A 22,116-nucleotide genomic window follows, 5' to 3' on the forward strand; every position below is an offset into this window, starting at 1 on the left:
ATCACAAAATTCCTTGGAATTATATCTCAAGAAACACCAACAGGACTGACTCAGAGCCTGTAAAACACCAGAGTTCTGGAAGAGCAACATTTCTGGAAACCCGGCATGTGAATCAAGTGCTGGGTTGTCTCAAGATTCCGGCAGAAACTGTCCTCTGCTACAAGAGTTGCTGTGCCTGGAAACCCAGCGTCCAAACTCGTGGATTCATCCTGGCGCTCATTTCCACGTACGTGGTAGTATCAAGTGGGACACTTCCCATAGAATTCAGCCAGAAACCCTAGGAAAAGCTCATGCATAGCTTAACAAAAATACACAAACACATCCCCAAGGTTGAAGTACTTACCTCTGTGCGAGACTGCAGTCTCTTGTTCATCTCATAGATTCGGTACTCTGGCTGTACCATGTATGGTGTATGCCTCCTATAAAATGGGCCGAAAGGAGAAGAATAGAAGGGGTCATGTGGTGTGCTGGACATCTTGCCTGCTTTTCGAAAATCAAGCTAAACAGAGTATCAGTAACGTCCATGCAGAGCACATGGGCTGTGTTCTTCCCAGTACAAAGTAGACGCACGCACACACGCTCACACACACACAGAGGCAGGCAGGCAGGCAGGCTGAACACGCTGGCTGGGAACTGCTGTCGGAGCCCTCTATAGCAGGAGAGGAGAGGGAGAGGAGAGGAGGGAGGGAAAGAGGGAGGGAGGGAGGGAGCACGGGAGAGGAGGGAGAGGGAGAGAGCAGGAGCTCCAGAGAGGGAGGGAGGTTGGTATGGAGGAAGGGAGGGAAGAAGGGAGGGAGGGAGGGAGGGAGGAGGGAGGGAGGGAGGGGGAGAGAGAGAGAGAGAGAGAGAGAGAGAGAGAGAGAGAGAGAGAGAGAGAGAGAGAGAGAGAGAGGAGCTGGATAGCTTTAGGCACCACTGCTTGTTTTTAAAGAAGCAGTTTGTGGAGAGGTCATTTCCTGTCCACATTGTAGACTAGTTCACAAATATAATTCTCCTCACAGTCTGACAAGAGGTCTAAGGTTTGGTTTTAATTTTTTTCCTCCAGCCAGGACCCTTCACAACCTGATTGCTAAGCTTGTTAGCATAGAGGTGGTCTAACCGCTACATGAGCCGCTCACCCCTGACAACCACACTGTTGTAATGTATCAGAAATGTTGATTACTACAAAATACAGAAACACGGGCACTGTGGTGCCCCGAATTGGGACCGGTGATTCACTCACATGCAGAGATTTATTTCAGCACTAATCTCCCTATGTAGTTTTGCTTTACTTGCTGTTGTTCCAAGGGCTGTTATATTCTTTGCCCTCCACTCCATCTCACTCCCATCTCTCCCCACTCACCCCTCTTCCCAGCCACCTCCCTCTTCTCCAAAGACTTCATTCAGGCCCTTAAGGTGCCTGGGCATTTTCAGGTAAAAACAGTCGTTCTGAATGTGGAAGGTATAAAATACACTTAAGGAGAGCAATGGTCTTTTTTCCCAGGAAGGAAAAACAAACAAACAAACAAACAAAAAACCCAAACAGACCTCCCAATAAGACAGGAAAAGCAAAGAAGGAGAAAACTGCCACAAAAATGACCACGGAAAATTTGGTTGAGAAGGAAATTGCAAATAATTGAATGGATCATCCCCAGATAACATGTCCAACTCTTATGGAGACAAAGTCTGTATTTTCCAAGATTGGTCAAGTAAACAAATATTTTCCCAACTGTGGTATATGATAACCATAAGAAATCCCAACAGCCCATGGAAGGGGAAAATCTCTATAGAGAATTAAACAATCTATAAAATAATCAAATTCTGCTAGAACCCACTATAACCAGAGATACGACACTTAAACAAAGCCCAGCCACACAAAATTTAAATGTATTGAGCTAACACCTAGGTAGGTCAGTGGTATTAAGGAAATAAAGCAAAGGACCACCAAAAAGCATAATGAATTCAAGACCTGAATGCAAATGCATGCAAATGAGACATTTCTTCTTTTTAATAAGCAGATTAATTAACTTTCTGCCCCAATCATGGCTTGGGTATCTCCAAGTCACTAGCCAACAGGGGATAGAGTATTGCTAATTCTGCAATTTACACTCTTAAAAATACTCAGACACAGAAAAGTGTATTGCTGTCTTGATCAGTCCTTCTTCATAATTGCATGAAATATTTGCTGAGTCCACCCCAAACTTCCAGCAGCGCAGCCTAACACACTAATGTCGCTTCCCAGGATGAGATTAGGGTAGGTATTACACTAAGGCTGCTTGGAACTTGCGCTAGGAGACCCCAAGGCAGGCGAGAATGCTTGGTTTCAGGTTTCATTACAAATCCGAAAGCTGGACCAAATTTGCTGCAAGGTTTGTCAAAACACACAACCTTCTAAAGACAGGATTTCAAACAATTTTGGCATGATTTACGTTTTGGTATGGCAGCCACTGCAAAACCTAATGGTTCCTTATGTTTAAACTCTCAAACTAAAGACATTCTGAAAGTTTAGTGTCTGCCTGAGTTTGTGTTAATGTGACCATTTCAGTGCAAGAATGAAAGTAACACCTAGGCAGGCCTGTGCAGGCCAATAGTAACAAAAAAAAATGAAACAGTTCAAAAATCCATTTAGGAAGGGAATCCCTCTCTGAATAAGGTTCTGGTTTGCTCTCATTTGTTTCTGCAGACCATTGCCAATTATAATTGGAAATATTTCTTGCCATTAATAGTGAAAGACTCTCATTTCAGAACTATCTGAAACTTGATAATGCTGATCCATATCCCTGATTCTCATCCCCGTTATTTCAGGAGTCTCCGAACTGGTCCCCCTGCCCACAGATTCACAGTCCTCTTCTAACTTGTGGTCTGTCCTTATTCAAATGAGAATGTGGATTTCAGATAAGTGAAAGCGATCATGTCCCATGTTTTCCCCCTCAGTGTTTCCCTGCTGCCAGAAGGAAAACGTGCAAGTTCCTTAGGAACATGGCATACAGGGCTCGGTAAGACCCGCACTTCTGTGCTGTCTCTTTCTCCCTCTGTCACATACACACACACACTCACACACACTCATTCATTTACTCATTTGTGTGTTCATTCATTTATTTATTTGCTATACTTGATCTTCCTAAACTTGCAATCTTTCTTATGCATGGCCACATTTGTACTTCTGGCCCTAGTTTACCTACAAACTGCTACTTATCCTTCTATTAAATTAAATTGTCTCCTCCATAAATCTTTTTAAATTACACATTCATTTGTTTATTTATTCAACAAATATTCCATTCACAGTGGATAGAGGCAGAGCCAACAGCAGGGCCAGAGCACGTTTCAACCCTAGCTCCACCATCTAGTTGTCGCGTGAACCTGAGCAAAGGACTCAGTCTCTCTGCACCTCAGTTATCTCATTGCAAGATGAGGACAATGATAGAAACTAGTCTATAAGATTGTTGCTAAGGATTAGCAAATACATCCAAATGCATTAGAACCCTGTCATCTAAACGCTCAAATAATAACATGATAGGCCGGGTGCAGTGGCTCACGCCTGTAATCCCAGCACTTTGGGAGGCCGAGGCGGGCGGATCACGAGGTTAGGAGTTTGAGACCAGCCTGACCAACATGGTGAAACCCTGTCTCTACTAAAAATACAAAAATTAGCCGGGTGTGGTGGCACGTGCCTGACCAGCTACTCAGGTGGCTGAGGCAGGAGAACTCCTTGAACCTGGGAGATGGAGGTTGCATTGAGCCGAGATCGTGCAATTGCACTCCAGCCTGGGTGACAGACCGAGACTCCGTCTCCAAAAAAAAAAAAAAAAAAAAAAAAGGAAAAGAAAAACTAGCTGGACATGGTAGTGGGTGCGTGTAATCCCAGCTACTCAGGAGGCTGAGGCAGGAGAATCGCTTGAACCTGGGAAGTGGAGGTTGCAGTGAGCCGAGATCTCACCACTGCACACCATCCCGGGCAACAGAGCAAGACCCTGTCTCAAATAATAATAAAAATAATAATAATAACATGATTATTAGGTACCTGATATCTGCTTAGGTTCTAGGGATCATTGGGAGGCCAAGGTGACATAGCACACAGGCTACCTGCCTTCCTGCCCCTTGCCATCTAGTGAGGGCAAGGGAAAGACAGTGTAGAAGAGCTAGTAAATATTTGGGAACATAATTTTAAACTATAGTGCAAGCTCTGTGCGGTGGCTCACGCCTGTAATCCCAGCACTTTGGGAGGCCGAGGCAGGTGAATCAGGAGGTCAGGAGTTTGAGACCAGCCTGGCCAACATAGTGAAACCCCATCTCTACTAAAAATACAAAATATTAACCACGTGTAGTGGCAGATGCCTGTAATCCCAGCTACTCAGGAGGCTGAGGCAGAAGAATCATGTGAACCCGGGAGGTGGAGGTTGCAGTGAGCTGAGATCGCACCACTGTGCTCCAGCCTGGGCAACAGAGTGAGACTCCATCTCAAAAAAAAAAAAAAAAATTCATCCTCCCCCTTGGTGTCGTCAGTGTAGTGTAGTTTCTATATTCTTCTATTAGAGGACTTATATTAATACATAAAAGGAACAAATACTGTCACTTGTTCAGTACTTGCTATGTGCCAGCCACTGTACTGAGTGGTCTACACAATCACTCTTAGTTTATCTTGCAATAAATCTATGGAATTGATTTGATTACTATTCCCATTTTACCCAATGGGAAACTGAGGCTATGAGAGGCTAAGAAAGTTCTTTGAAGTCATGCAATGAATAAGTGACAGAGACAAAATTCACAGCCAGTTTGCCTGACTGCTTGACTTAAGCATTTTGCTGCTCAGAGGTCAGGTCCATCCTCATCTCAAGGGCATTTCTGTTCTTTGTCCCCGGTGGCCAGCGTGGTGCTGAGCCCATAGTAGATGCTCAAGACACATGGACCTGACTAAATGGAAGAAGAAGCAAAGGATAAAGTGGCTCCCCTCACTTGGATTTTATTCTTCGTTGTCTTGCTTAGTTTCAGACACTCAATGCCCCCTGCCTCGCTCCGACCCCTGTCCCTGAAGCCCTGCCCTGCAAATCACCACTCCCATCTTTGTTATTGTCCCAGATCTCCCAGCATAGATTCCTAAATCCACAAGCTAGGAGTTGAATCCTTTGCACCGCCAGGTTACCGGGTTGTCTTTGTCGTTCATCTGTTTGTCTTCTTTCTTGCTTCTTGAAGGATCAGCTATGACTGGTCTTCTGGGTCAAGGATGAGCTAAGAAGTGAAGAAAACAAAGTGCTTATTTTAAGATTGTAAATCAACTCCTTCAGAAAACCATAGAGAATTGCAAGTATGCAGTATTTGTACCCTAGCAAAGAATAAACAAGTCTAACCCCCAACACAACAGTTCTATTACCCCCAAAGATTAAGCCATGCTCGTTTACGCATCATTTTGTGTATTGAGTATGAATGAGTTCCCAAAGTCCTCATGCAGACGTTCAGGGTGCTCTAAAAGCTGGCCTGCCCTTTACACTCGGGACCTAATTTAGCTGCATTCACCTTAGGTTTAACCCAGAGAATGATTATTGTTCCTTTAAGTGGAAATACTTACCCACAGTTTAAAAAGTGAAGAATTTCACATACAATCCAGATTTTCATCTTCTCTGAAAAATTATAAGCTCTGACCACCCTTGGCCCCATCCCTGCTGCATGGCAGTGTGCAGTGGGGCCAGCCTCTTTGTGCTTGCCCGTTCACCATGGTCTCTGTCACTCTACAGCCGTCCCCTCCAATGTCCCTAATTTCCATTTACCTGCCTGGTTCTTCCAAGTATTTGAAACATTGTCCTTTTTCTTAATCTATCAATTGCATCCTTTCCAAATCCTTCAACCAAGCACTGTTTGCTTCAGACAGCCAGCTTTCTTACCACTCTTCAATTCCCTTTCTCTACCATTCCTTACCTCTTTCTTTCTTTTTTTTTTTTTTTTTTTATGGAGTTTTTGCTCTGTTGCCCAGGCTGGAGTACAGTGGTGCAATCTTGGCTCACTGCAACCTCCACCTCCTGGGTTCAAGCGATTCTCCTGCCTCAGCCTCCCAGGTAGCTGGGATTATAGGCGCCCACGACCATGCCTGGCTAATTTTTGTATTTTTAGTAGAGACAGGGTTTCACCATGTTGGCCAGGCTGGTCTTGAACTCCTGACCTCAGGTGATCTACCCACCTTGGCCTCCCAAAAAGCTAGGATTACAGGCGTGAGCCACCTCGCCCAACCCTTCCTTACCTATTACTGTGCCCTATACAACCTGCTTCTTCAGTCAATAAGCATTTCACTAATAGGTAAAGGCAAGGTAGAGCTGAGATGTGGTGAGGAATACAGATAAATGAAAACATAGAAGGCGTGGCAGATTTCAACCCTGGTGCCACCACTTAGTTGTCACGTGAACCTGAGCAAATGACTCAGTCTCTCTGCACCTCAGTCATCTCATTGCAAGATGGGGACAATGATAAAAACTAGTCTATAAGATTGTTGCTAAGGATTAGCAAATACATCTGACAGCATTAGAACCCTCACATCTAAATGCTCAAATAATAACATGATTATTAGGTACCCAGCATCTGCTTAGGTGCTAGGGATCATTGGGAGGCCAAGGTGATGTGGCACACAGGCTACCTGCCTTCCTGCCCCTTGCCATCTAGTGTCTGCCTTCAGGCAACTTAGCAGACATGCAAAACTATGCTTCTTTCATTCAACAAGGTATATATTGAGCCCCTACTATGTACTAAGCACCATGCCAAGTGCTGGTAATATTGCTCCAACAACCAAACCGAAGGAAACACAGAACTAATCCCTTACTCCAGGAGAGAGGTGGTCTAGAATAATGTTGTCAGCGATGGGCTTTGGAGCCTCACCGCCTTGGCTTGAATCGTGACTCCTGCATTTAGCTGTATGACGTTGGCATTTCATCTGTCTCTGCCTCAGTTTTCTCATCTCATCTGTAAAGTGGAGTTAATAGCAACCCTATGATTCCTATGAGGATAAAACAAGCTAATGCATATATGTTGATTAGAACAGTGCCTGGCATTTAGTAAGTCCTCATAATTATTAGTTATTATTAGAAGAGGCAACGGGCATTAACCAATATCAGAAGCACATGTAAAGTGACACTGTGAAGTATAGAAGGCAGGCTGGGATAAGGAGGAGGCATGAGCAGTAGAGAAGCGGCCAAAAAAAAAAAAGGTCTAAGGCATAATATGATAGGCATCTCCATATTAATAAACAAAATGCTAATTTACAAAGAGCCTTGAAATAAGGAGGGATTCATTCAAACTAGTGAAATCAAGGAAGGCTTCACAGAGGAGTTGGCATTTGTATTTAGCCTCATAGGATCAGTCCCAAGACTAAGATGAAAGTTTGAGAAAGTTCACGCCAAGCAAAGCGGACACCATGGAAATGAACATATTTGACATCAAGCAAAGTCAAACAACTTGGTGAAGGCAGAGATAGTAAAAAGATGATGAAGTTCAATTCCAGGAGACCTGAAAGTGCCATCTGAAGGAATTTGCAGTTTATCGCCTGGGCACTGGGAAGCCAATAAGTGGTTTGCTCAAGCAAGATGACTTGCTAATACAAGGAGGATAAATTAGATTCAGAGCGACTCAAGAACTTAACTATGCTTTGGGAAGTTGATTTTGGTCAACAAAGTCCCCAGCATACATCTGTTCAGAAAATTCTCTCAGAGCACATGAAACAGAAGACCCAGAACAGATATTGAAAAAGCTCTCATTGTTCTTGGCTACCACCTAGAATTAAGATCTTTTATGACTTTGTGGAACTTCAAGGTCATCTTCTAAACAGCACCAGTAGTCATTGTCCAGGCTTTCAAAGTTTATAAATTGAATTCAGAGTTGAGAAGGGCATTGCTGAGTACATCAAAGAGCTTGGAAATCTGTCTCTACCCTGCAGTCTTAGAATTGTCTTGGATTTCCTTTATTGAGGTGTTTGCTGTCATTCTCTAATGTCCTTTTTCTTTTCTTTTTTTTTTTTTTTTTTTTTTGAGGTGGGGTCTCACTCTGTTGCCCAGGCTGGAGTGCAATGGTGCGCTCTTGGCTCACTGCAACCTCTGCCTCCTAGGTTCAAGCGATTCTCCTGCCTCAGCCTCCCAAGTAGCTGGGATTACAGGTGTGCACCACCATGCCCCGCTAATTTTTGTATTTTTAGTGGAGACGGGGTTTCACCATGTTGGCCAGGCTGGTCTCGAACTCCTGACCTCAGGCGATCCGCCTGCCTTGGCCTCACAAAATGCTGGGATTACTGGCATGAGCCACCACGCCCAGCTCTAATGTCTTCTTGACTAAGCCAAATGTAATTAGAAATTATAATGACTAAGAAAGGCCATAGCCATTGAGAACAGCTTATTTCAAGAGTATCAACAGTGAAATCCAACCTCATAGCATGGACCACTTAATGTTCATTTAATTATTAAACAGGTCATCCCTGAGTACCTGCAATGTGCTGGGCCCTCCTCTTTTGGACTCTGTGGGATCAGATCCTCTCTGACCTCCTGCCTTTCCAACCACATCTGTGCCTGTATTCACCCAGCCAACACCACCTGCCATGACACTTCTACTTCATTCCCAATATATGTCAGATTCTTTCTTCTAGATTGTAGGACACTCCTCTCTTGGCCTTAGCATGGCTAGCTCCTTCTCAGCTCAAGATGTTACCTGTTCAAAGAGGCCATCCATGACCAAGTTATATAAATAATTTATCCATGCTCCATTACTTTCTCTCACTGAATTCTGTTTGTTAGGTCTCTGACACTGATCACCATCTGTAATTACATCTGTATTTGTTATTTACTTGTATATTGCCTGTGCCTGTGTTTCCTCTGAGATTATAAATTCCACAAGGGCTGACAATGTGCTGGTTTTATACACCAATGTATAAAAAATTCTGTACACTCAGAATTTCACATAAGGTTTGGCACATGCAGGAACTCAGTATATTTTTTGAAAATAAATAGGTGAAATATCTGAATGCATCCCTGGAGCTGTCCTGGCAAATTATATCTCTTAATTCCAGGCTGAGCTATTCATATAATAGTGATGTATAAAGGCTATTTTTGTTCATTTATTAATGCAATTGGGTACTTACTACAAGTCAGGTACTGGGAAAACCAAACTGGGCAAATTTGATAACTTGAGAGGCTCCCTTTCCAGGAACCAATTCCCTAGAAAGCCCTTTGTCATCATTAATTATTTCATATCCAGAAGACCTCAGAGCTGCTATTGAGACTTCTGTGATCCACTTCTGACCTATGGAAGACCATGCAGCCAAGTGTCAAGGACGCTGTATTCTCTATCCAGCTTTGAACCTTTCTCAGTGTGACAATTGGGTTAAGTCATATCACTGCAGTTAGCTTGAGTTTCCGTACTTGCAAGATGCAGATAATAGCACTAACTTCATAGGGCTGTTATGCGAATTGAGGAATATTTTCTGCCCCTAATAGCCAATAGCTGTTACGAAGTGTCAAGCATTGTTCCAAGCATTTTATAAATATTGATTCATTGAATCCTTAACACAATCCCATAAGAAAAAGACTATTTTGTTCCCACTCTCTAGGTGAGGAAACAGATGCTCAGAGAGTCTGAGCAACTTGCTGTGGGTCTCACAGATAGTAGCTGGTGGAATGGGAGTGGAATGAGGGGCGTCTGGCTCCCCTTGTTGATGCTCTCGGAGGGTCCACAGTCTCTGTTCATCTCCACACTCAATTGTGAGCTGCTTGAGGGCAGGTGACACATGTTTTTCATGAAATAAGAAAAATATAAATGAGAGAATGAAGACAGAGTATCATTCAAGATTCTTCTGCTTGTAGAAAAAAAAAACACTCCAAATGTCTTAAGTAAAAAAGAAAAAAAAGTGAATTTATTTGCTTATCTAATTGGAAAAGTCAGAAGCATTTGAGTTCAGGTTCAGTAGGATCCAGGGGCCCAAACTACATCTCCAGGACTTGGAACCTGTGGCCGCCCCTGTAGGCAGGCTTTCCTCACTTGCTGGTAGACTCTGCCCATGTGGTGACCGTGGGTAAGGCTGGGTTCATATTCTCCCACTTTAGCCCAGCAGAAAGAGAGGTTTCTTTTCCAAGAGTTCCAACAAAAATCCCAGTTTTGTGTCTCATTGCCTGATTCGGACATAAAAACCAATCTCTGCAGCCAAGAGAGTGGCCAGTCCTGGGTCACATGCCCACTCCCCCAGCCCGGGGCAGGTTGGCCCCCCTAAATCCAGGGACCCAACAAAATGGCAGGGTTCTGTTACCAGAAGGTGAGTGCATTTATAGGTATAGCCACCCACAAAATATACATTCAAGTCCTAACCTTTAGTACCTGTGAATGTGAGATTATTTGTAAATAGGGTCTTTGTGGATGTAATCAAATTAAGATGAAGTCATACTGGATTAGGGCGAGCCATAAATCTGATGACTAACGTTCTTACAAGGAGAGACACAGACACACAGATACACACATGAAGAGGGAAGCAGAAGCTAGAGCGATGCAGCTACAAGCCAAGGAACACCAAGGACAGCCAGAAACCACCCGAAGCTGGGAAGAGGCAGGAATGAAGTCTTCCTTAGAGCCTTCAGAGGGGGCATGGGCTGCCGAGACCTTGATCTTGGACCTCTAGCCTCTAGAACTGTAAGCGAATACATTTCTGATTATTGAAGCCACTCAGTTTGTGGTACTTTGTTACAGCAACCTTAGCAAACTAATAGAGAATGGATATGGGTTCTGCATGCAAAGCCTCTGCTACCCAACCACAAAGAGGCTGACTTGGCTCAAAACAGAAGAGACTGCAAGGAGACCCACCTGTTTTCTTTTCCTTTACTAACAAGGGTAATAACAATAACAATACTAATGTCATTTACTGATTGCCTACTAATTGTCATGCAAATGTAAGGTCTGGTAACTCACAAAAAATTATATCATTGGATCCTCACACCACCCCTGCTGAGTTAGCTAAGTTTTCCTCCAAGCACAGGGAGCTATCAAACAGGAATAGAGTCCTCCTTCTTCTATTTAGGTACATATTAATCTTTATATGAACCCTCCCTCCAAATCTCTCTCTCTCTCTCTCTCTCTCTTTCTCTCTCTCCCCGCCCCCCCCACACACACACACGCACACACACACACTGCCGTACCACTAAACTGTGCTTGTCCCAGAATGGGTGGCAAATATTTACAAATGAATAAATGGCAGCCTTTTAAAAATTGTGTTCTAACTTACTAAAAATTATTATCTGTGGTATGATTTTCTCTTCGTGCTCTGTTTTATCAGAACTAACTTTGAGCCATTTTCCTGCCCGATCTGCCAGAACTGCTGTCACTCATCCTGATTTCAGCCATGTGCCTCCTGCCTCTCTTTCCCTCCCCTGGAGCTTTGAGAGACAACTTTTGGATTGGCGGCTGACACCAGGATGCCTCCGGACACCCTGGAGGCTGGAGAAAGACAGTGTGCTGCACAGCCTCACACAGCCTGCCAAGGACAAACTTCCTCTGCGCGACTTGGACCTAGACAATCGTTCTCTGACAAAGGAATCCCCAAGCCTGCGCCTTCGTGGAATTGACTTTTGAGTCCCTTTATTACTGAGACTGACATCTGAAGCACATGTATGTTTTTCTTTCATAAAAGCTCTACCCTAATCCAAGATCAAACAATTTATTTTGAAAATAACTGTACAGAATGGTACATTTTCCAGAACCAAACAGGTTTCCCCTGTCATTTGCCATCGCCTTTGAAGTATTTAATAGCTGAGGTAACTTGGAGAAACGACTGTGTTCCTGAAAACTGCACTTACTGTCGCTCCTGTTTGCAAGGGACTTAGCATTTACTCACTGCTTTTATCAGTCCACTTTTTGCTTTTATCTGCTTTGTTTCCCAAGTGAATTCTCATTCATAGTTTTCTACACATCATTTCTGAGAGCCACGGAGGATTTCCTTCTGGGAATGGACCTTAACTGATCTCAATGTCCCCTGCTGTTGATATTTGCATTATTTCCAATTTTTCTCTAATACAGCAATCCTTGATAAATATCCTTATATCTCTTTGTATATCCATATGTGTCCACATCAAAACTCTAAAAGTAAAACCATTTTAAGGCAAGGGGCATGTACTTTGTAAACCTTTTGTTACATATTGCCAAATTGCCCTATAAATGAGTTCTGTGGATATAGTCCCACCAGTAATTTTTAATTTTGATTTCATTTTTATGTTGATGAGCATGATACACATTCATGAAGAAAACTCATGCAATACTTCAAAGTGTGAAGAAAAATGTGAAATGCACCTGATTTTCTGCTCTGATTTTCTCCACTGTAGAGGCTGTACAGAAGGATCTAGCAGCTCATCTCTTTGTGCATGGGCTGAGTTCTCCAGCCACCATGCCTCCACTGGGAGCTAGTGGAAGGAAACCCACCGTATGGATGCAAAGCACTGTAGCTGACAAATCTTTGAGTGTTTTTTAATTTTTCACAATCATAAACAACAGGGCAAAGAATTCCCTGGAATTCATCCTTCAGCACTGGACATAAATGCCACTTCTTCTTTTTTTTTTTTTTTTTTTTTTTTTTGAGACAATCTCACTCTGTCACCCAGGCTGGAGTGCAATGGCGCTATTTCAGCTCACTGCAACCTCCGCCTCCCGGGTTCAAGCGATTCCCAAGTAGCTTGGACTATAGGCCAACCATGCCTAGCTAATTTTTGTATTTTTAGTAGAGACCGGGTTTCACTGTGTTGGCCTGGGCTGGTCTCGAACTCCTGACCTCAGGTGATATGCTCACCTCGGCCTCTCAAAGTGCTGGGATTACAGGCATGAGCCATCCCACCCGGCCCATAAATGCCACTTCTTGAGCATGCTTTCCTTGACTCCCTAACCTATAATTCAACCTTTTCTTTGATTCATTAACTGGAGTAAGAGGTTCTGAGCCCTATGCCTGGAAACTTGCACCCACAGAGTATCGTGTACTTAGCACATCTTGACAAACTAGGTCTGGATGCACTTACTAATATGTAGCAAACTTTTCAAAACATGCAACATGCTGCGAAATATGTCATCAGTGACAAATTAATATCAAAACCAATCAATATTCTATGGACACAATGGCCCATATGTTCACTTGAAATGGGTAAACATTTGTTGTCACCACAATGCATCACATCTGCTAGGCAAGTGTTGGAAATGGTGATGGTTAATATTATGTGTCAACTTGACTGGGCCACTGGGTGCCCAGACGGTTGATCAAACATTATTCTGAATGTGTCTGTGCAGTGCAGGTGTTTCTGGATGACACTACCATTTGAATTGGTAGACTGGGTCAGCAGGTTGAAGGGCCTCACCCCGCATTCCCAAGGAAACTGGATGGCCTCTCTGAGGCAGTTGCTGTGCAGGACAATGCTGAGTCTCCTTAGGAGCCATCCCATAGTTCCTGTTTGCTTCTAGACCTGTAACCAGAAGTAAGTCCCAGCAGCTCTACAGTTGAGGGACACAGTGTGACCCCTGAGGAGGTGCACTGCACTCCAAAAGAAAGACTTGAGTTTTCTAATGACAAGGACAGAAATCCAGAACATGTGTGGGAACGCATAGTAAGGGATGGAATAATGGTGGAAGAAACTTAAAGTTGGATTGGGCTGAATTTATTGGTATGGACTCACCGAGAGATTCTGCATTTAATGCTGCAGCTCAAGGAGTTAGAAAGGGCTCTAGCAGTTTGGCCGTTTGGTTGGTTGGTTGGAACATGGACCAAAGGGTGGGCCATGGTAACTGAGCTGGAAATGTCAAAGCCATTTTGATTTAAAGTAGAAAAAGGGGCTGGGTGCGGTGGCACACGCCTGTAATCCCAGCACTTTGGGAGGCTGAGGCGGGCAGATCAAGATGTCAGGAGATCGAGACCATCCTGGCTAACACAGTGAAACCCTGTCTCTACTAAAAATATAAAAAAAATTAGCCGGGCGTGGTGGCGGGCGCCTGTAGTCCCAGCTACTCGGGAGGCTGAGGCAGGAGAATGGCGTGAACCCGGGAGGCAGAGCTTGCAGTGAACCGAGATTGCACCACTGCACTCCAGCGTGGGTGACAGAGTGAGACTCTGTCTCAAAAAATAAATAAATAAATAAATAAATAAATAAATAAATAAATAAAGTAGAAAAAGGGATTCAAAGCTTAGGGAGATGGAATGTTAGGGTGGATTCACCATTTAAAACCGACTCACTCACACTGGAAGGGTCCTAAGACCCTACCACCACAACTGTGAGAAATAAACTTATGTGAGGAGCCCCAGCATCCTTGGAAAATCATCCCACAGTTGTTTTTCTATACAGCGCAGGCCTTACAGCGGAACTTCAGTTACTGAATTGGGAAACCTAAATGCAATGGGTGTAATTGGATCCTGGGGTGGCAGGGTCCACACGGCAGCATCAACCACCCGAGGCCAGGTGAACGTGGTCACTGTCTGGCACAGCAGAGTCAAAGCAGCCCTCAGAGCAGTCTGACTCACACTGACCTGTGGGGCTGACTAATTGATCATGCTGTTCCTAGAAGTGAAATAGACAGGAAACCCACTGAATTCTTACTTAATGTATATAAGCAAATTCTAGGTTGAGCGAACAAAAGTCTAACTTGAATCATAGAATCAGAGAGTCATGGCTCTTCAATTCACTCAAGGGGAGGCTGGTGTTGTGGGGCTACATGGAGATTTCCCTTCTAAGGCAGAGAACGCTTTGATGCATCTGGCCCCACACCTGCAAGTGAAAAGGAGACACAATGCCTGATAGGCCTCTATGGAGTTTGGAGGCAGTATATTTCTCATTTGGGTGCATTAGTCCAACTCATTTACTGGGTGAACCAAAAAGCTGCTAATTTGAGGGGCACAGAACAAGAGAAGTCTCTGCAGCAGGTCTTGGCTGCTGTGCAACCTGCTCTGCCACTTGGACCATACGATCCAGCAGATTCAATAGTGCTTGGTGTCTCCGTGGCAGATGGGCAAGGAATGCTGTCTGGAGCTTTAGCAGGCCCATTAGGTGGATCACAGCACAGGCCCTCGGGATTTTGAAGCAAGACCTGCCATCCACTGTGGTTAACTACACTTGTTTTGAGAAATAGCCCTTGGCCTGCTACCAGGCCTTAGTAGAGACTGAACCATGAGCCAGCAAGTCACCATGGGACCTGAGTTGACCACAAGGAATTGAGTGTTAGCTGGCCTATCAAGCTATAAATGGAGGCGTGCACAGCAACACTCCATTATCCAATGGAAATGGTGTATACATGATGGGGTCTGAGCAGGTCGTGAAGGCACAAGTAATTTACATGAAGTGTCCCAAATGCCATGGTCGCCAGTTCTGCTACACTGCTTTCTCTTTTCCATTTTGGACTTATGACCTCATGGGGGGTCCCCTACAATCAGTTGACAGAGAAAGAGAAGGCTTGGAACAGGTTTACCGATGGTTCTGCATCATGTGCAGGCACCACTGAATGTGGACAGCTGCAGCACCACAGCTCTTTCCTGGGGCATCCTGAAGGACAGTGGTAGATGGAAATCCTTCCAGTGGGCAGAATTTTAAGCAATGCATCTGGGTTTTTTTTTTTTGCCAGGAAGAAGTAACAGCCAGATATGCGATTATATACACTTCATGGGCTGCATCTATTGGTTTGGCTGGATGATCGGGGACTTAAAGAGATCGTGGTTGGAAAACTGGTGACAAGGAAATCTGGGAAAGAGATATGTGGATAGACCTCTTTGAGTGGGCATAAAACATGCAGATATGTTAGTTCCACGTGAATGCTCATCAAAGGGTGACCCCAGCAGATGAGGGTTTTAATAATCAAGTAGATAGGGTGATCCAGTCTGTGAGTACCAGTCAGCCTCTCTTCCCAGGCAACCCTATCTTCACCCAATAGGCTCATGTACAAAGTGACCATGGTGTCAGGGATGGAGGCTATGCATGGACTCAGCAACATGGACTTCCACTCACCAAGGCCAATCTGATTATGGCCTCTGCTGGGAGCCCAATCTGCCAGCAGTAGAGACCAACACTGAGTCCTCAATATGGCACCATTCCTTGAGGTGATCAGCTTATCACCTTGTGGCAGGTTGATTACATTGGACAATTTCCACCATGGAAGGGGCAGTGTTTCATTCTTAATGGAATAGATGCTTACTCTGGAGATGAATATGTCTTTTCTGCTGCAATGCTGCTGCCAAAATTACCATCCATGGACTTACAGAATGCCTTATCCATCGTCATGGCATTCTATAGAGTATTTCTTCTGATCAAGGAACTCACTTCAGAAGAAAGTGTGGTACTGGGTGCATGTTCATGGAATTCACTGGTCTTACCATGTTCCCCACCATCCTCTAGCAGCTGCACTGATAGATCAGTGAAATGGCCTGTTGAAAACTCAGTAACAATGTCAGCTAGGTGGCAGTACCAGGCAGGGCTGGGGCAAGGCTTTCTAAAAGACTATGTAAGTCTCTCAGTCAGCATCCAGTATATAGTACTGTTCCTCCTATAGCCAGGATTCATGGGTCCAGGAATCAAAGGGTAGAAATGAGAGTGTCACCATTCACTATTACCTTTAGGGACCCACTAGCAAAATTTTTGCTTCCTGTTCCTGCAACCTCTTCTCTGCTGGCCTAGAGGTCTTAGTTCCAAAGGGAGAAGTTCTTCCATCAGGAGACACAAAAATGATTCTTTTGAACTGGAAGTTAAGACTTCCAGCCATTTAGGGCTCCTCAGGACTCCAAATCAATCAACAGGCAAAGAAAGGAGTTTTTGTACTGCCTGGAGTGAGTGATCCTGACTTCCAAGGGGAAACTGAACTGCTACTCCACTATGGATGTATGGAATGTAGGAGATTCCTTAGCATGTCTCTTAGTGTCACCATGCCCTGTGATTAATGTCCATGAAGAGTGACCCAATCCAGGAAGGACTACAAATAGCTCAGGACCTTCATAAATGAAAGTTTGGGCCACCCCAACAGGTAAAGAACCACAGCCAGCTGAGGTGTTTGCTGAAGGCAAGAGGAATACAGAATGGGTAGTGGAAAAAGGTCATTATAAACACTGGCTACAGCCATGTGACCAGTTACAGAAATGAAGGCTGTCATTGTCATGAGTATTTCTTCCTTATTTTGTTACGAGTATGTCTGTGTGTGTGTATGTGTGCATTAAGCAAACGTTGTTTTCTTCCCTTTCTTATTTTCTTATCACATATTATAAGATGTGTTGACTTTATAATATAGTATTTAATATTATTAACTACATCATAATTTATAAGTCATAAAATATCAAGCAGAAGAGTTAACATCACTCAAGGACTTTATTTCCTCCTCTGTGGAAGGGGTTAGTGCATTTCTGGTTTTACACATGATAGTTGTATAACATTTGGTGGAATTTTGACCTTTTAATTCTGTTTATTTGGAGAATAAGTATGATTTAAGAGGATGTGTGTGGGTGCCAAGTTGACAAGGGGTGGACTTGCGATTGTTAATTCTATGTCAACTTGACGGCCATGGAATGCCCATGTATCTGATTAAGCATTATTTCTGGGTGTGTTGGTGAGAGTGTTTCTGGAAGAGATTAGCATTCGAGTTAGTGGACTGAGTAGCGCAGATGGCCTTTCCCAATGTGGGTGGGCATTATCCAGTCACTGAAGGCTTGTATAGAATAAATGGTGAGCATTAACTAAATCACGTATCATGACTGTGTAAGATGTTAACATTAGGTGAAGCTTGGTGAAGAGCATACAGCAACTCTCTGTACTATTTTTGCAACTTTTCTTTAAGTCCAAAATTTACGCAAATGTAAATTCTAAGTCACACAACATGGTGCCATAAAAGATAAGTGTGTGTATAAATCCTATACACACACTTATTTTTTATGTTTGGCACAAACATTTCGAGTGATGTTTAACAGAAAAATACTCATTTATATTTGCTTTATTTAAAGATAAAACTTGCGGTTGTCATTTACTTTTCTAGTTCAGGGAGTAAGTGGGTTACCACCGCTCTCTCAGTCGCTGAATGACATTAATTTTGCCTTTGGAGTATTTATTACAGCAGTGTGTTTCCTCAAACAAGTTAAAAATTTTGGAATCCCTTTTATTCACCATGTAAATGGCAACACGGTTGTCTTAGAATTCCACAATGTGTCAAGCTTCAGTAGTCAACATGGTCAGTGACCCAGATCTTACACCACATTCCCTTGTGAGGAAGATATTCTTCTGAGCCTAAAATGTTGAAGACGTTTCTCTTTTGCTGCTGAGGTCTTCATACCAGCTTGTTTCCTTCAACCCCTGCTATGCTAAACTCTAAGGCACAATCCCAATTATTTTGCTTTATGTGAATTTCAATGTGTTAGTTTCCCTAGTTTAAAAAATAAGCTCCTCATCTACTGGAACTTGGTTTGACTGCACATTTTTCTTTCCAGTGTGTTTACTGCAGAAGAATTTGAGCCATACATTTTAGTTATTTATAGGACTCTGCTTAAGGTTATGGTGAAATTGAACAATTTCCCAAGATTCAGGCTGTGGGTTTTGGGGAGGGGGCTGTGAGATTGGTCCGGAGAATCCTGCTTTGGGAACTAGATCATCACTCAATGGGGAGGGGACAATGGCCCTACAGATTGGTGTGGTCAGTATATGGACAACAGAAAGTGGCACGCCGACCCTCATATCTGGAGTATGATTGCTTATTTAGAATCAAACAATGAAAACAAACAAAATCAAAGAGATGACATGAGCAGATCCATTGATAACCCGCCTTTTTAAAAACGACACAAAGTTCCGGCCCTCTTTCCCCAGTCAGAACAGCCGGTTTCCCTCCTGTACATTCCCTGCCCTTATAGCAGGTAATGGCCTGAATGCACGGTGATTTCCCTTGAGCAGGGGCGGTACCTGGGGAGCTTGCGTTGTGACTGCCTCAGCGCCTCCTGTCTCCCTCTAGTGGCAGCCTCAGGGAGGGCAAGCATACGAATGTAAATTCTAAATCACACCACAGGGTGTCCTTGTTTAAAGTTCTCCAATGTCTCCTTATCACTTAGAATAAACCCTAGCTATCTACCAGTCTCTGTGAGGCCACTCACTATTGGACCCTGTGTACATCTCTGAGCACGTCCATGTCTTTCCTCTTCCCAGTTCTACCGCCTTCCTTCTGACTTCAAATACGCCAAACTAGAATTCCCTTTAAGGTCTTTGTACTTGCTTTTTACTCTCTGGGATTCTCTTTTGCCCAGACTCTAAGCCTACCTTCTGATCATTATTCAGGTTTCAGCTTAAACACCACCTCTTCATCGGAGTCTTCCCTAATGACCCAATCTACAGAAACCCACTTTCTTCATTGCACAGCCATATTTTATTAGTTCTTCATGGAATTCACCAACGTGGTGAAACTCTGTCTCTACTAAAAATACAAAATTAGCCGAGGGTGGTAGTGCACGCCTGAAATCCCATCTTCCTGGGAGGCTGAGGCAGGAGAATCGCTTGAATCTGGGAGGCAGAGGTTGCAGTGAGCCAAGATCACACCATTGCACTCCAGCCTGGACAATAAGAAGGAAACTCTGTCAAAAAAAAAAAAAAAAAAAAAAAAAGGCGGGGAGGATATTTAAAGAAGGATATTCTTTTTTTTTTTTTTTTTTTGAGACAGAGTCTCGCTCTGTCACCCAGGCTGGAGTGCTGGAGTGCAGTGGCGCGATCTCAGCTCACTGCAAGCTCCGCCTCCCGGGTTCACGCCATTCTCCTGCCTCAGCCTCTCCGAGTAGCTGGGATTACAGGCGCCAGCCACCTCGCCCGGCTAATTTTTTATATTGTTAGTAGAGATGGGGTTTCACCGTGGTCTCGATCTCCTGACCTCGTGATCCACCCGCCTCGGCCTCCCAAAGTGCTGGGATTACAAGCGGGAGCCACCGCGCCCAGCCAAAGAAGGATATTCTGATAATATTGCAATGGGAAAAAAATCTCTATGGGAAATATATTCCAAAGTCAAGCATAAGACCTGGAAGTCAATGGAGAAAGAATTGATAATTATGGCAATGAAATTATCGTTTGTATAACACAGTGAGCCAAGTTAAGAGATAAATAAAACATTTGGTGGCAATATTTGCAAAATAAATGAATAAAGATTAATAGCCTTAATTTTTTTAAAATGTATATCTCAATAGGAAAATGAAAACAATCCTATAGAAAATGAACATTAGATATAAACCAACAATTCACACAGTACAAATCACCACTGAGAATATGGAAAGACATTCAACCTCACTTATAATCAAGAAAATGAAAATCAACATAAAATGCTGGTTTCTGTTAGATTAATAACAGAAAAAATTCACGTCTGTCAGAGAAGTAGAGGAATGGCCATAGTAATCACTGGGGAAGAGTGTGAATGGGTCCTGTCCTTTTGGAAGACAATTTGTCAGTGTCCACCAAAATGTATAATGCACATATACAATAATTTCACAGTTATGTATTTTGTAATAACTGACATTTCTTTGACTATAAGTGAGATTAAGTATTTTCATGACAATCATTCATCTGTATATTTTTCTATTCTGAACTTGCCTGCTTATGGCCTTTGCCTGCTTTCCTACCATTAGATCATTAGCTGAGTAAGAGGTGGGGAGGAAAGGAAGCACAAAAAGGCCCCTAAAATATACTTCCTCATACGTGAGCTGTTGAACTCCTTCATCATTTCACTTTCAATAGTGGAGCCAGTGGAGGCAATAATATAATTACAATCATTTCTTAGTAGTGGCTGTCAGGCCTCTGAGCCCAAGCTAAGCCATCACATCCCCTGTGACCTGCAAGTACACATCCAGATGGCCTGAAGTAACTGAAGAATGACAAAAGAAGTGAAAATGGCCTGTTCCTGCCTTAACTGATGACATTACCTTGTGAAATTCCTTCTCCTGGCTCATCCTGGCTTAAAAGCTCCCCCGCTGAGCAACTTGTGACACCCCCTCCCCACCTTGCCCCTGCCCGCCAGAGAACCCCCTTTGACTGTAATTTTCCTTTACCTACCCAAATCCTATAATATGGCCCCACCTCATCTCCCTTTGCTGACTCTCTTTTCGGACTCAGCCCGCCTGCACCCAGATGAAATAAACAGCCTTGTTGCTCATACAAAGCCTGTTAGGTGGTCTCTTCACGGGGACAGGAGTGAAAGTGGCCCCACCCCCAGAAACTTGCAATCCTTTATTACTTGCTACAAAGATGAAATAATTGCATTTAAATATAAGAAGATCGAACTTAGCATGCATTCTTTAATTCAGTTAGCAAACATTTATTGACTACCTACATTTGCCAGGGACTGTTTCCTTTATCCTTCCGCAACCCTTTTTTCGCCCACTCTTACGTATAAAATATATACAACCTCTTTTTTTTTTTTTTCTTTTTTTGAGATGAGTCTTGCCCTGTAGCCCAGGCTGGAGGGCAATGGTGCAATCTCGGCTCACTGCAACCTCTGCCTCCCAGGTTCAAGCGGTTCTCGGTTCTCCGGCCTCAGCTTCCCGTATTTCTGGGATTACAGGCGCACTCCACCACACCTGGCTAATTTTTTTTTTCTGTCTTTAGTAGAGACGGGGTTTCACCATGTTGGCCAGGCTGTCTCGAACTCCTGACCTCGTGATCCTCCCGCCTCAGTCTCCCAAAGTACTGGGATTACAGGCGTGAGCCACTGCGCCTGGGGTGTACAACCTCTTAAGAAGCAGTGGCATGGCAGAGGAATCAAAGCCAGCCATCAGAGTCCACAAAAAAGGTGATCAAGTTTTCCTTCTGAGCAAGAAGGGAAATTGTGTTATTAAAATTTAAAAAGCAGAATCTTGAAAACTTGAAAATTCTACAATTTTTTTAAAAAGTTAACAAAATTCTACGTGTATTTATAGCTTTTTTGCCCATCTTTGCTAAAATATATATGTGTGTGTGTATATATATATATATATATATATACACACACACACATAAACATTTATATGTGCATATTTATATGAATGAATTTAGACAAGAAATGTCCTGGAAGAAGGCATTTGAAACATTTTCTCAAAAGGTGAAATTTCATACTATTTTCATTTCTTTTTGTCTTATTTTTATTTTTTTAACTTTTTGCTACTAAGGTATACTACCCCTAATAAACTCAGAAAAGAAAAGA

General features: G+C 43.3%; 1 protein-coding gene across 19 annotated transcripts in view, besides 4 other annotated features; it reads right to left on the reverse strand.

The window, feature by feature from the left end:
- The window catches only part of LDB2 (LIM domain binding 2), a 397,105-nt gene extending 396,470 nt beyond the window's left edge, over window positions 1-635 (reverse strand). For all 19 annotated transcript variants that reach the window (NR_130734.2, XM_017008813.3, XM_017008821.3 and 16 more), the window contains exon 1: window positions 344-635. Coding sequence is in view for 18 of the 19 variants with exons in the window: in XM_017008813.3 (XP_016864302.1) it covers window positions 344-475 (132 nt within the window). In the remaining variant the exon portion in view is untranslated. The remainder of the gene's footprint in view (window positions 1-343) is intronic.
- Window positions 10,192-10,733: an enhancer, noted in NCBI's record as "OCT4-NANOG-H3K27ac hESC enhancer chr4:16909825-16910366 (GRCh37/hg19 assembly coordinates)". NCBI's record gives its function as "activates a minimal SCP1, AML or CMV promoter by ChIP-STARR-seq in primed H9 embryonic stem cells {active_cell/tissue: H9 hESC(primed)}" and the evidence as "EXISTENCE:reporter gene assay evidence [ECO:0000049][PMID:30033119]".
- Window positions 10,734-11,275: an enhancer, noted in NCBI's record as "OCT4-NANOG-H3K27ac-H3K4me1 hESC enhancer chr4:16910367-16910908 (GRCh37/hg19 assembly coordinates)". NCBI's record gives its function as "activates a minimal SCP1, AML or CMV promoter by ChIP-STARR-seq in primed H9 embryonic stem cells {active_cell/tissue: H9 hESC(primed)}" and the evidence as "EXISTENCE:reporter gene assay evidence [ECO:0000049][PMID:30033119]".
- Window positions 18,768-18,847: a silencer, noted in NCBI's record as "silent region_15309". NCBI's record gives its function as "represses an Ori minimal core promoter by ATAC-STARR-seq in GM12878 lymphoblastoid cells {active_cell/tissue: GM12878}" and the evidence as "EXISTENCE:reporter gene assay evidence [ECO:0000049][PMID:35858748]".
- Window positions 20,398-21,215: an enhancer, noted in NCBI's record as "OCT4-NANOG-H3K27ac hESC enhancer chr4:16920031-16920848 (GRCh37/hg19 assembly coordinates)". NCBI's record gives its function as "activates a minimal SCP1, AML or CMV promoter by ChIP-STARR-seq in naive H9 embryonic stem cells {active_cell/tissue: H9 hESC(naive)}" and the evidence as "EXISTENCE:reporter gene assay evidence [ECO:0000049][PMID:30033119]".

Source organism: Homo sapiens, chromosome 4 (assembly GCF_000001405.40).
Source record: "Homo sapiens chromosome 4, GRCh38.p14 Primary Assembly".
Taxonomy (NCBI): domain Eukaryota; kingdom Metazoa; phylum Chordata; class Mammalia; order Primates; family Hominidae; genus Homo; species Homo sapiens.